The 15,481-nt window shown below is 36.3% G+C and overlaps 1 protein-coding gene and 1 long non-coding RNA gene across 5 annotated transcripts in view, besides 1 other annotated feature; one reads left to right on the top strand and one right to left on the bottom strand.

Annotated features, from left to right (window-relative positions):
* The window catches only part of SAMMSON (survival associated mitochondrial melanoma specific oncogenic non-coding RNA), a 435,002-nt gene that overhangs the window by 132,679 nt on the left and 286,842 nt on the right, over nucleotides 1–15,481 (bottom strand). Inside the window, exon 7 of one of the 3 annotated variants that reach the window (NR_186030.1) lies at nucleotides 10,668–10,732. The exons of the other annotated variants lie outside the window; for them this stretch is intronic. This is a non-coding gene — a long non-coding RNA (survival associated mitochondrial melanoma specific oncogenic non-coding RNA). The remainder of the gene's footprint in view (nucleotides 1–10,667; nucleotides 10,733–15,481) is intronic. 3 annotated transcript variants of the gene reach the window in all.
* The window catches only part of MDFIC2 (MyoD family inhibitor domain containing 2), a 118,160-nt gene that overhangs the window by 10,728 nt on the left and 91,951 nt on the right, over nucleotides 1–15,481 (top strand). The gene's annotated exons all lie outside the window — the stretch shown is intronic.
* Nucleotides 10,696–11,195: an enhancer, noted in NCBI's record as "H3K4me1 hESC enhancer chr3:70339867-70340366 (GRCh37/hg19 assembly coordinates)". NCBI's record gives its function as "activates a minimal SCP1, AML or CMV promoter by ChIP-STARR-seq in naive H9 embryonic stem cells {active_cell/tissue: H9 hESC(naive)}" and the evidence as "EXISTENCE:reporter gene assay evidence [ECO:0000049][PMID:30033119]".

Here is a 15,481-nt window from a genome sequence, read left to right as displayed (position 1 = left end):
TAACTCCTCTTTCACGTATCAAATATATTTCATTTTTTGTATTTAGAAAATTCAGCATTATAGATAGAAAATTAAACTTCCTGTAGAGTTACCAAAATATATCTGCTAATATTTATGTTCAATATCTTGAATATAAATTCCATAAAATATGAAAAGTTTATATAAATAAATCTTCTTGAGAATTAAGAATGTATCAAAAATCTATATTCAGGCCACAAATTAAGATTCCACACTTCACGTTTGTCTTAAAACTAATTTGTTAGACCAATATGTGCAAACGCAGATTGATAAAACAAACCATTCCTACTGTAAAAGAAGCATTCGTTTTACAAAATAATATATAATTAAGTAAATGAAATCAACAAATGTTTTCATTTCCTGCAAGACACATACTTACACAAGGAATACACAGAGATTCCCATGCCCAATAAAGAAACTTATAATTCAGTTGGGAAAATAAAATATCAGCAACACATCCTGTTTACCATAGGATTCAGATAAGCACAAGCTCTTTAGCTGTATTTGAAATATAATAGAACATGCAAAAACAATGTGGGTGGAATTTTGCAGTATGAAATCTCTCATACACGAAACCATATGAACATACCCAATTCCTTACATGCAGATTTACCTTAAAATTTAAAAAGTGTTTTTGTTTTGTTTTTAATGGACTCAGTAGGTTTGGGCTAAAACAACTATGCTAAAGAGTCACTTGAAACAACAGAATTAATTTTAAAATATTAACTTAAATTTTTTACAGCTGTGTCTCAGAAGAAAAGAACTTTTGTGTAAATAATCTTTATCACCCAGCCTCTTTTCTTAAAAGAAAATAGCTAACATCGTCTTTTTTAAATGAGGAAAAACTATAACATAAAGAGCGGAGGTACTTAATGGATAATAAGGAGTTCACTTTTCCAAGGGAAATTACTAAATGAATCATTTATTTAGGAACAAAAGAAGAGGAGAAAATTGCACTAACGGCTTTCTTGACTTTTTTTTAAAAACAGCAACATAACTTGGAGACATACTGTGTTTATAGGACATGAATACCTTGGAGTGTCCAAATTTGGTATAGCTTTAAACCTCTACATTCTGTAGGCTGACATCCGTTAATTAAAAAGCAACTCACTGGCCACTGAACTCTAGGTCAAATAGCCAAGTATGGGTTTTGTAACATTACTTGTTCTATGACAGAAGAATGTACTTTTTGCTTCAGTTTTACTTAACAAATATCAGTCTCATCTTGGATTCCCCTAGATACAACTGGGAGAAATAACTAGTTCTTTTTATTTTAGAGATGAAACAATAATACTAATTAGGAATCAAATATAATTTTTGAAAACACTCAACAGGGAAAAGTAACATGGTTAAAGGCTAATATATATATAATATATATGTATGTATATAACTACATTGCTGGAAAAATACACATATCTAACTCTATCTGTCTCTATGCCCTTCTAACTATATTTTTATTGGATATCTTCAATTTGTAAGATAACGTGGTAGTTTAAATGAGAGAATCAAACACAAATAATACTCGATGTGCCTATAATAAACGTCTGTATAATGTTGTAAGAGAAGGTGGTAGGTAAGGAAAGTTTATCTATAAATCAATAGATTTAAATAAAGGAGAAATGTTAAGTATTAGATTGTTGTTTACTCAAGGGCAAGGGCGTTTCTGGCTTGTTTACCTCTATATTTGAGGTACAATAGCCCCTGAAGTAAAGCAGATGCTAAAAAATGACATGAATAAATGGAAGGATAAATTTCAAAGAAGATATGCGATTCAGAGGTAGGAAGCAGCACATCTAGAATTCTGAAAAATGGGGAATTTGGCTGGGCTATAAATCATGGGTAGTGTTTCAATAGGCAGTAACAATACAAACTGATGGAATATGATGGCCCAAGGTATGGAGGCAGAAAAGTCTGGGGTATGTTCTTTTCAGAGAACGATAGCTACGTTTGACTGGAGAAAGGGCGTGTGTGGGAGTGTGAAATAAATCTTAGCTATATTATGAAGGACTTTTAACGTTAGGTTGAAGAGTGTAAACTGAATGTTATTAAACAAAGGGAAGCCATAAAATATATGTGAGGTTGGCTTCAGGAAGGTAGAGAGGACCTAAAGATAACAGAATCAGCTCTGTGCTTTAGAAAAGATTTGTGAGTTGAGGATATTACGAAGATGGACTAGAAGGGTAGAGACTGAAACCAGAGTGACTAGTTAGAAGCTTGTTGCATCCACAAATGAGAAGGCATGAATTCCGAATTTGAGATATTGGTTTTCAGGGCAATGAAAACAAAGGGCTGGCACCCAAGAGAACGCTGACTCCAACGAGCCTTGGCCATGGACTGGATATTAAGGGATCAGAGAGACAGGAGTTGTCAGAGATTACAGAGATTTCTGGATTCAATGGGAATTTTTAATATGTCTCTAGGGGTATGTGCTTTTGTGTGGCTTTACGTAAGTTATCTATTTTTTAGAAAAATTAGAATATGAAAATGGAAAAAAATTATTCTCAATTCCCACATGCATAGATAGCCACTGTACATCTTATATGCTTTATATTTGTGTGTGTATACAAATAACGCACAAATTTATAATTTTAATAAAATATGATTATGCAATATTTTAATAGCATGTTTTGATGATTCACGAATAAATGTGAACACCTTTCTAGGGCAATAAACATAGATTTACTGCATAATTTCAATGGCTCTACATATAGTATTCTATGAAGTAACAAAATATATGTAACCAATTACCTATGTTTGGATATTCAGGCTGCTTCACATTTTCTGCTTTTAAATCTCAAAGGAATTCATTATGATATGTTTTGGTATCTCCTTATAATCTGGCTAACCCAAAGCACCACGTGAGATCCTCACACCTTACTTTTCACCTTTGGATGGCACTTTACAATCTATTGCACATCAATGCCTCAGCTTAGTTGCATAAAATATATGTGCAGAAGTATTACCGTGCTTTTTTACAAATGAGGAAAATAAAGGTCAGAAAAGTTTAAATAATTTGGTCCAAAGTCACCCAGGTAGTAAACAACAGGACCAGGTCCCAAGCCAGGTATTCTGATCCTAAATCCAGTACATCTTCTATCATAGACTCTGCTTTGAAATCTACTTGAAGATGGCTAACCAAGAGCCCCTCATCTGCACTCATTACAACAAATAAAATTAAAGAAGACTGGAAAAGTTTGGGCAAGTCAATATAGCTGGGGTATTTTTAAACCTATTACTCATTCAGTTGGATTCCCTAAACACGAGCTTCAGCACAGTCATGGTGATTTTAACGAGAAAGAGGACTTAGTTATGAAATTAGATGAAGATTCAGAAGCCAACTTATCTGTAGATCACAGTGATTAAATAGTTCAAAATGAATTACAACTTAGTAATATTGCTTCATTCATATTTATGAGATAAAAGTTGGAGTTCAGCTCCCATAATATCCAGTAATTTAAGACACAAACAAATTATAAGGATTAATCATTTTAATATCTTCCCGTTGATGTTGGCTAACTAAACAAAAACATGGCTGGTGGAGGAGAGAAGTGGAAATCTTATTTTGTTTGCTTATCTTTGTGAAACAAGCACTTGAAAATAAAACATATCACATCAAAGTGTGGGGAAAAAATAACTCCAGTGGCAGAATCAACTATGATCAGATTAAGAAACAGCAATATATTTTTGCATGGCTAATAAACAGATCAAAAACCTGCAAACCTAAGGATATTTAGATGCCAAATCTAACTTTAATTTTCAAATATCCTTATCTGGTCAAACCATCTCTCCAACAATAAAATTATATTATACACAGCCCTGTTTTTTCATATTCAGCAAATAGCACCCGATTGTCAATCTTAGATGTGACCCTGATTTTCCTTGTTATATTTAGAATTTTTAAAAATTTCTCCCCTGATTATTTAAGTAGCAGGAATTAGCAAAGAGTAAGAGACCACTCTCTAAAAGCTTTAAACCATAAACAAACATAACATTTTTCAGATAGCCATTATGCATCAACTGTACTTTTCAATCATGAATTAAATTCAATTGTACTTCTGTGGTCAGAAGCCTGTGAGTTTATGATAATAACACTTTTTAGTTTAAGCTTTTTCTTTAGGTAATCAAATGACACTTTACAAATTACCTGACTTCTTAACACATACCCCACAAAAGGAAAAAAATAATAATAAACAAATGCTTAAGGAAGAAAATATTTTAACTCCTCGTTTTACATAAGGGAGGAAACTAAGTCAAATATTTTTCCATCCTTGAAGGAAGAATTTAATGCATTTCATTTCAAAGAATTCCGATAACACAAATATACATATTGCTCCACAGGGTACCCAGACATATGCAATAATAAGCCTTCATATTTCTGTCTAACCAATTGAAACTACAGAGATTATATAAATTTGTCATTAGTAACCAGAGAAACTAAATAAACAACGTGAGGGTTAAGCAGAAGTATAGTCTAATTACAACCTTTGAGTGGCTCAAATATCTAAACTCTTAATCTCCACCAAGATATCCAGTTCTTTTTGTGGTCTAGAGCAAGCATCTCACAATCTCTATCTATCTGAACTTTCCCCAGCTTATTTAAGTAAACAGATAGGCTCTTTGATTCTTTTGCTTTATTTTTGTAAGGACTCATTTTACAATAACTAATTACCAAGAGCTAGGCAAAATAATTCATACACTTATTTAAATCATCCAATAGTAAATTTGACAAGCAGTGTACTGTGCATAAAAATATTTTTTTAAGTAAGCAAGGTTCAGAGAGAAATAGGTGTCTATCATTTCAAAAGAACATTTTGATAAGGAATAATATATTCCTTAATTCATCAATCAGCACACCTTGGTTAAGCCATAGTATGTGCGTATGTGTGGTGGGGGAGGCGGTTGGGGAGCATGGGGATATTAGATCAGATATTGACAATAAACTAGACCAGAGAGGCAGATCACACTGGATTTATTAGCCATATGAAAGTTTACTCTAAGGGCAATGGGAAACATTAAATGGCACTAAGCACAGAGAGGCCATTATTACATATGCCTTTTAAAAAAACCACTCCAGCTACAGTGTGGGCTGAAGAGTAGAAAAAGCAGATTGGAAGAAAGCTGATAGTCGGGCTTATAGTAGCCCAAGCAGGAGTTAAAGGAATGACACTGTGAATGAAGAAAAGAAGTTTTAAGAACTTGTTGAAAGTTAGAATTGTCAAGACTTGCTGGTAATTGGCTGTGGGAATGGAAGAAAAGAAAACATCAAGGACAAGGTCCAAGCAACTGGGTAAATGATCATGCCTTTTATTCCACTGGAAACACAGAGAGAAATGTAGGGTAGATTCCAACTGATGTGAATTAAGTAACCAAATGATTTTTTTTAAATTATCTTATTTGGAAAATTATGTTAACCAATGTCACGGTGTGAGAGGTGATGGGTTCTATAAACTGGGGCTCAGTGTTTCTTGAATTTTGGTTATCTAAAATTAGGTCCATTTTCTGGTAGGCTCTGGAACCCATAGTTAACAGTAAGAAAGTATCATGTTAAGAGTCTGTTTCAGTCTCTTACTTAGTAAGACAATAAACTGATTTGGAAAGGGAAACAAAACATAGGATTTAAATTAAATGTCACTGCATCTCATGTTTCAAACTACAACTTATTTGGGGGCTCATGGAAAAAGGATGTCTATGGTTAGTGATATGGGTAAAAGACTCATTCGTTTTATGTTTGTCTTATTACAAAGTAAAGAAAATGTACTGATAAAAAAGGCTTTCACCCTTTCCCTACCACTAAAACTGCTGCTGCATTGAATGAATTCTAAGACATAAAACAGATTCAGAATCCTGGTGATGTCTTTCACAAGTTAATGCATGTTAGCCACAGTTTTAAATACATGTACAAAAAGCAGTAAGGTTTGCAAGTCAGGATTGGTTCTATTTCTACACATAATTTAGCTTTATTGTTTTCATGAAGGAATATAATGAGCAAGTATGGGAAACAAGGCAAAGATCAAGTGGGAGGCACATTTCTATTAAACCACATTCAGCTTCATAAAAAATAAGGTATTATAATTACACCAAAATGCAACATCTTTGCCTAACACATTCAACATGAATCAAAAGATATCACAGATCAAAAGATACAGCACTTTAAAATATTTGCATTGTAGTATTTGTATATTTATTTGTTTATTTATTTTTGAGATAGGGTCTCACACTGTCACTCAAGCTGGAGGGCAATGACACAATCACAGCTCACTGCAGGCTCAACCTCTTGGGCTCAAGTCTCCCAAGTACTTAGGAATAGGACTACAGGTGCGCACCACCAAGCCTGGCTCATTTTTAACTTTTTTGTAGAGACGGGATCTCACTATGTTTCCCAGGCCAGTCTCGAACTCCTGGCCTCAAGTGATTATCTCACTCGGCCTCCCAAAGTGCTAGGATTACAGTAATAAGCCACCATGTCTGGGCTTTCATTATGGTATGTAAGCCTTTGGGAATAATTCAGTCAAAGGGTTGAGTTTTTGGAATCACACATACCTATATTTGAAATCTGGACTCACTAGATGTTAATCTTGGTCAATTGCTTAACATTACTGAAACTCAGTTTCCAAAGCTATAAATAAAAAATCATAATGGCTACTTTGGTTGCTTCCCCATCCTCCATTCTTCCATTCTTCTTAAGCAATCTCAATTTTGTTCAGGAATCCACACATCTCAGGGCAGTCATGCATTTCCAGGGTGACTCCATCACCCATCTCAGAAGTTGGAAGAATTCTGACTGGTTTAACCCAATAATGGTCCCACTGCCCTTGCCAATGATAATTTTAGGCAACAGATCATTGATTATTTTAGGCAACAAATAATTTTGGACAATGAGACATGAGAACCCATCTGCTAGGGGCTTCTAGTAAAGGTTTTTGGGGTTTTTGTTTGCTTCAGGAGAGGTGAGTTGGTTGTTTTACTTTGCTTTGTTTTTGGATCATTGGCTCCTTTAAGATGGTTCACAAAAAAAGATAGTCTCCTATTTTGGATACCATCAAATTGCTACGTGATGCTTGAAACTTGGGAAACCATCTTATAAGAGAAGCCAGACTGAGCAAAAAGCCACACATCTAACCTAAAATGACATGGAAAAAAATCTGGATTCTTAAAAGTGGTGTTGTGCCATTGATTTAATCAATCCTCGAGCCATTCTACCTTTAAAATGGATATATGAGTCATAAATTACTTTATTTTTTGAGCCTGTTTGAGTTGACGTTTTCTGTTATTTGCAGCTGAAAGCATGCTAAGTGACCCGGCTACCTTGCAGAATGAGCAATAATGAATGAAGAGCACTTCACACCCAATAATGACTACTATTATTATTTTACTTTTTTCCTCATAGTCATTTTTGGGATCTCTTTCTCCTTTTTTCTGACTTTTTTGAAACTGTCAGGGAATATATGGTTTCTTATTCCTTTCTATATTCTCCTACGTACCTACAGTAGTGTCTGTCAGCAGTGAATGCTTATAAATATGTGTTAAATTGAAATAGAATTGAATCTAAGTATCATTACTTCTTGTACTACAAGGTCTATTCATGACCTAGGGTGAACAGGTTTCATTAGCAAAAAAGAAAATGTTTTATAAAGAACACTATTCAAAAAATCAATTTAATGTAATTTTTATTCTAAAGAATAAGTTTTTCATTCTACAGAAAACTGTAAATTTCTATACACTAGTTTTTAAATGCTAGGGTAGTATTATTTTGAACAACTGACATTTCTAAAACACTGAGAATAGGAAACTTAGATGAGTCAACTTAAAACATGGCCATGTCTTTATAAAGCCAAGCTGTATCCTTAATAAAAATTGATAAATATTAAAATACACCCAGCTGTTGCCCAAAGTACACTCAAACTCTTGAGTGATAGCTTGAGCTTCTGCTTGTATGCTCCCTCTGTCATCAGATAACTTTGCTCTTTTTTTCTGGCTCCAAGGGTCTCTTTAGGCTTCAACATGTAACACAAAAATAAACAAGGTGATGAAACTGAAAGTGGTAAGTTGATTCTACCAATTAATAAATATAACCAGGTTCCTAAGGTCTTTTTTCTTTCCTTTCAGTAAGGTTCAGATACTCATTGTTATATTTTTCCTAAGACTATCCAGAGGAATATTAATGTAATTTAAAAAAATCCTGTTACTTCTAGTGAAATAGAATGTTTTTCTGGAAAGAGAAAATGGAAGGAAAGGAACAGGCCTACAAAAAAATGTCTTATTTGGTGGCAAAAACCAAGCTAACACCATCTTATATCACTGTGGCACCCAAGTAAGGCACAGATGTTTTATTTTCACAACCTCTAACTAAAACTTAAGATTTCCTTCAATCAGAAATATAGGCAACATCACAATAGTAGGATCAGCATCGCCTGTGATTTTGTCACTAATAGAAATCAAAGATATTTTCATATCTATTTAATTTCTGTTGTTGCTGATATTACAAAGTATCCTTGGCTCTCATCCCCAAATTAGTTATTCCACTTCTAAGTCTTATTTAATGTATTAATAAGGACACACATATACAACTATATCACAGTTTTTTACATATTTTGATAATTGTATGTAATTGTTTTTCTTTGTAATACTATGTACTTTATTTTATGCATTTAAGAACATTATTCTGAAAGGAGTCTGTAGGCTTCACCAGACTTACATGACAGAAAGTATTAAGGAATTGGACTGATGGGAGCTGAATACTTCCAGAAATGTAAAAAGCTGGAGGGAGAGCAGCAGTTGGTGAATACTGAATTTTCTTTCTTCTCGTCATGTAATATGCTACTTTTTTTTTTTTTTTTTTTTTTTTTTGCTTCAAACCACAGAAATCAAAGTTCTGCACTGTACTACCTGCAAATAGCCTTTATTTCTTTGGAAAAGATGAAACATTTAAATTGTTAGTAATTAATTGTATGTATGTTTTTCTTGTTAGATAATTTCAAATCATAAATATTCTAAAGCTATTATTGAAAGTTCATTATATAGTATTTCTATCAAGGTAATTCTACCTTCAAAGAAAAATTTTTGAACAAAACTGCAATTTTTATTGCAATTTCATTGTGTAACCACGAAAAGAAAATAATTCTTTTCTTTATCTGCAAACAGTGTGTGTGCATGTGTGTGTGTGTGATCAAAGATCTAGTTTTAAGTATGTGTACATCAAAAAAGAGAAAACATTTGGAAATGAATTGTTTTCATCAATCATTAGGGAGTTTAAATAGTTATTTTTCATAGAGAAAAACTCATCCAAAAGCAAGATAGATAAAAAATAGTTTGGCATAAAAAATACTTACAAGTTTATAAACTATCCTTTTTTAATGCCTCTCAAACCAAAGGAGTCAGATCCACATGGCTTGAATTCAAGCTTCATCTTTACGATTGTTTCCTGATTTACCTTTGCTAGTATTACTAGTGATATCATGCTTAACAATAGTAAGTGACAATAATTGAGTTTACTATGTGTCAGGCATAGTGGATTTAGCTGAAGATATCAAGGCCAACAAGATATGTATAGTAATGGCTCTCAGAGACTCCATTCTAATAGATAGATACTATATATTATAAACAATCAAATAAATATAATTGTTATCAATGAGTAAAAATCACAAGATGTACCACTCAATCTGTACAACAACTCTATGTGGTATTATTATCTCCAATTCATAAAGGGAAGCTTGAATTCAGAGACATGGAGTAGTTTGTCCAGTGCCACACTACCATAAGGGAGATGCAGAGCTACCAGTACAACAGGAGAGACTGAAATACATAAAGTATTCATAAAGGAATAGTTTTATACAATAATCATGTTTACCTTCTTGAAGGAAGAGACTATTTATTCAGCTTTGAAACCATCGTGTCTTGTATATGATAGAAATGCTTAATGAATGGATGAATCTGAGAAATAAAGCAGGACCACTGCAAAACGTTGGTTACAATTTAAGTAAGAGGCGAAAGATAAGAGAGCAGAAAATATTAGACTCCTACATTCTTCCAGGAAGCCGAAGATAAGATCACCAGACAGCACATCTTGAAAGAAGAGCATTAAAAAGACAATGTATTATTCAAAATTTAGTGAGCATCTATTACATGAGGGGAAAAGACATATCATCTTGAACTGTCATTTTCTAATCTGTTGTCAGTGACTCACAGGAGTTTTGTGTTGAAGAGGATTCTGAGTGGGAAAAAGCTAGCAAATCTGTTATGAGTGAAGCCACAGGGGAAAGTGACAGCCAGGGGTTTGTCATTTGTGGATCCGATGTTCCCAGCACTGTGCTAAGTATTAACATATTGTCCCTTCTGAGAATCTCAGAATGTGATGAGAGATAAGACCAAATAAACAGAAAAAGTACAGTACAATACAATGTGAGAAGTAGAAGAACAGAGCTATAGACAAGATTCTAGGTCCATCTGGAGAAGGTAGCTAATAGCTCTACTTTGATAAATTAGTAATACGATATATTTGTTATATCGTAATGATAACAGTATTCATATAACACTGTTCTAAAGAGTTATGTGTATGAATTCACTGAATTGTCTAAAAAAAAATGAGTTGGCTGCTATTATTATTCCCATTTCACAGATGAGAAAATAGAGTCCTAGATAATGTAACTTACCTGAGGTCAATAGCTGGTAGGTGGAGGAGCTGATTTCAAACCCCAGACAGTCTGGCTCCAGGGCCCTGGATGTTAAACATGCAAATATGTGAAAAATACTTTTTATGGTAAAACTGCTTTCAATGATATTCTTTTCCTTCATAAAAAAATAAGTAGCTCTGGAGGAGCCAAGATGGCCGAATAGGAACATCTCTGGTCTACTGCTCCCAGCGTGAGCGAAGCAGAAGACCGGTGATTTCTGCATTTCCATCTGAGGTACCGGGTTCATCTCACTAGGGAGTGCCAGACAGTGGGCTCAGGTCAGTGGGTGCGCGCACCGTGCGCCATCCGAAGCAGGGCGAGGCATTGCCTCACTCGGGAAGCGCAAGGGGTCAGCGAGTTCCCTTTCCTAGTCAAAGAAAGGGGTGAGGACCGCACCTGGAAAATCGGGTCACTCCCACCCGAATACTGCGCTTTTCCGACAAGCTTAAAAAACGGCGCACCACGAGATTATAACCTGCACCTGGCTCGGAGGGTCCTACGCCCACGGAGTCTCACTGATTGCTAGCACAGCAGTCTGAGATCAAACTGCAAGGCGGCAGCGAGGCTAGGGGAGGGGCGCCCGCCATTGCCCAGGCTTGCTGAGGTAATCAAAACAGCCCGGAAACTCGAACTGGGTGGAGCCCACCACAGCTCAAGGAGGCCTGCCTGCCTCTGTAGGCTCCACCTCTGGGGGCAGGGCACAGACAAACAAAAAGACAGCCATAACCTCTGCAGACTTAAATGTCCCTGTCTGACAGCTTTGAAGAGAGCAGTGGTTCTCCCAGTACGCAGCTGGAGATCTGAGAAGGGGCAGACTGCCTCCTCAAGTGGGTCCCTGACCCCTGGCCCCCGAGCAGCCTAACTGGGAGGCACCCCCCAACAGGGGCACACTGACACCTTACACTGCAGGGTACTCCAACAGACCTGCAGCTCAGAGTCCCGTCTGTTAGAAGGAAAACTAACAAACAGAAAGGACATCCACACCAAAAACCCATCTGTACATCACCATCATCAAAGACCAAAAGTAGATAAAACCACAAAGATGGGGAAAAAACAGAACAGAAAAACTGGAAACTCTAAAAAGCAGAGCGCCTCTCCTCCTACAAAGGAACGCAGCTCCTCACCAGCAACGGAACAAAGCTGGATGGAGAATGACTTTGACGAGCTGAGAGAAGAAGGCTTCAGACGATCAAATTACTCTGAGCTACGGGAGGACATTCAAACCAAAGGCAAAGAAGTTGAAAACTTTGAAAAGAATTTAGAAGAATGTATAACTAGAATAACCAATAGAGAGAAGTGCTTAAAGGAGCTGATGGAGCTGAAAACCAAGGCTCGAGAACTACGTGAAGAATGCAGAAGCCTCAGGAGCCGATGCAATCAACTGGAAGAAAGGGTATCAGCAATGGAAGATGAAATGAATGAAATGAAGCGAGAAGGAAAGTTTAGAGAAAAAAGAATAAAAAGAAACGAGCAAACCCTCCAAGAAATATGGGACTATGTGAAAAGACCAAATCTAGGTCTGATTGGTGTACCTGAAAGTGATGGGGAGAATGGAACCAAGTTGGAAAACACTCTGCAGGATATTATCCAGGAGAATTTCCCCAATCTAGCAAGGCAGGCCAACGTTCAGATTCAGGAAATACAGAGAACGCCACAAAGATACTCCTCGAGAAGAGCAACTCCAAGACACATAATTGTCAGATTCACCAAAGTTGAAATGAAGGAAAAAATGTTAAGGGCAGCCAGAGAGAAAGGTTGGGTTACCCTCAAAGGGAAGCCCATCAGACTAACAGCGGATCTCTCGGCAGAAACCCTACAAGCCAGAAGAGAGTGGGGGCCAATATTCAACATTCTTAAAGAAAAGAATTTTCAACCCAGAATTTCATATCCAGCCAAACTAAGCTTCATAAGCAAAGGAGAAATAAAATACTTTACAGACAAGCAAATGCTGAGAGATTTTGTCACCACCAGGCCTGCCCTAAAAGAGCTCCTGAAGGAAGCGCTAAACATGGAAAGGAACAACCGGTACCAGCCGCTGCAAAATCATGCCAAAATGTAAAGACCATCGAGACTAGGAAGAAACTGCATCAACTAACGAGCAAAATCACCAGCTAACATCAAAATGACAGGATCAAATACACACATAACACTATTAACTTTAAATGTAAATGGGCTAAATGCTCCAATTAAAAGACACAGACTGGCAAACTGGATAAAGATTTAAGACCCATCAGTGTGCTGTATTCAGGAAACCCATCTCACGTGCAGAGACACACATAGGCTCAAAATAAAAGGATGGAGGAAGATCTACCAAGCAAATGGAAAACAAAAAAAGGCAGGGGTTGCAATCCTAGTCTCTGATAAAACAGACTTTAAACCAACAAAGATCAAAACAGACAAAGAAGGCCATTACATAATGGTAAAGGGATCAATTCAACAAGAAGAGCTAACTATCCTAAATATATATGCACCCAACACAGGAGCACCTAGATTCATAAAGCAAGTCCTGAGTGACCTACAAAGAGACTTAGACTTCCACACATTAATAATGGGAGACTTTAACACCCCACTGTGAACATTAGACGGATCAACGAGACAGAAAGTCAACAAGGATACCCAGGAATTGAACTCAGCTCTGCAGCAAGTGGACCTAATAGACATCTACAGAACTCTCCACCCCAAATCAATAGAATATACATTTTTTTCAGCACCACACCACACCTATTCCAAAATTGACCACATACTTGGAAGTAAAGTTCTCCTCAGCAAATGCAAAAGAACAGAAATTATAACAAACTATCTCTCAGACCACAGTGCAATCAAACTAGAACTCAGGATTAAGAATCTCACTCAAAACCGCTCAACTACATGGAAACTGAACAACCTGCTCCTGAATGACTACTGGGTACATAATGAAATGAAGGCAGAAATAAAGATGTTCTTTGAAACCAACGAGAACAAAGACACAACATACCAGAATCTCTGGGATGCATTCAAAGCAGTGTGTAGAGGGAAATTTATAGCACTAAATGCCCACAAGAGAAAGCAGGAAAGATCCAAAATTGACACCCTAACATCACAATTAAAAGAACTAGAAAAGCAAGAGCAAACACATTCAAAAGCTAGCAGAAGGCAAGAACTAACTAAAATCAGAGCAGAACTGAAGGAAATAGAGACACAAAAAACCCTTCAAAAAATTAATGAATCCAGGAGCTGGTTTTTTGAAAGGATCAACAAAAGAGATAGACTGCTAGCAAGACTAATAAAGAAAAAAAGAGAGAAGAATCAAATAGACGCAATAAAAAATGATAAAGGGGATGTCACCACTGATCCCACAGAAATACAAACTACCATCAGAGAATACTACAAACACCTCTACGCAAATAAACTAGAAAATCTAGAAGAAATGGATAAATTCCTCGACACATACACTCTCCCAAGACTAAACCAGGAAGAAGTTGAATCTCTGAATAGACCAATAACAGGATCTGAAATTGTGGCAATAATCAATAGCTTACCAACCAAAAAGAGTCCAGGACCAGACGGATTCACAGCCAAATTCTACCAGAGGTACAAGGAGGAACTGGTACCATTCCTTCTGAAACTATTCCAATCAATAGAAAAAGAGGGAATCCTCCCTCACTCATTTTATGAGGCCAGCATCATTCTGATACCAAAGCCGGGCAGAGACACAACCAAAAAAGAGAATTTTAGACCAATATCCTTAATGAACATTGATGCAAAAATCCTCAATAAAATACTGGCAAAATGAATCCAGCAGCACATCAAAAAGTTTATCCACCATGATCAAGTGGGCTTCATCCCTGGGATGCAAGGCTGGTTCAATATATGCAAATCAATAAATGTAATCCAGCATATAAACACAGCCAAAGACAAAAACCACATGATTATCTCAATAGATGCAGAAAAGGCCTTTGACAAAATTCAACAACCCTTCATGCTAAAAACTCTCAATAAATTAGGTATTGATGGGACGTATTTCAAAATAATAAGAGCTATCTATGACAAACCCACAGCCAATATCATACTGAATGGGCAAAAACTGGAAGCATTCCCTTTGAAAACTGGCACAAGACAGGGATGCCCTCTCTCACCACTCCTATTCAACATAGTGTTGGAAGTTCTGGCCAGGGCAATTAGGCAGGAGAAGGAAATAAAGGGTATTCAATTAGGAAAAGAGGAAGTCAAATTGTCCCTGTTTGCAGACGACATGATTTTATATCTAGAAAACGCCATTGTCTCAGCCCAAAATCTCCTTAAGCTGATAAGCAACTTCAGCAAAGTCTCAGGATACAAAATCAATGTACAAAAATCACAAGCATTCTTATACACCAACAACAGACAAACAGAGAGCCAAATCATGAGAACTCTCATTCGCAATTGCTTCAAAGAGAATAAAATACCTAGGAATCCAACTTATAAGGGATGTGAAGGACCTCTTCAAGGAGAACTACAAACCACTGCTCAAGGAAATAAAAGAGGATAAAAAGAAATGGAAGAACATTCCATGCTCATGGGTAGGAAGAATCAATATCATGAAAATGGCCACACTGCCCAAGGTAATTTACAGATTCAATGCCATCCCCATCAAGCTACCAATGACTTTCTTCACAGAATTGGAAAAAACTACTTTAAAGTTCATATAGAACCAAAAAAGAGCCCGCATCACCAAGTCAATCCTAAGCCAAAGGAACAAAGCTGGAGGCATCACACTACCTGACTTCAAACTATACTACAAGGCTACAGTAACCAAAACAGCATGGTACTGGTAC

This window comes from Homo sapiens, chromosome 3, assembly GCF_000001405.40.
Source record: "Homo sapiens chromosome 3, GRCh38.p14 Primary Assembly".
Lineage (NCBI taxonomy): Eukaryota > Metazoa > Chordata > Mammalia > Primates > Hominidae > Homo > Homo sapiens.
This window is presented reverse-complemented; position numbering and strand designations above follow the sequence as displayed.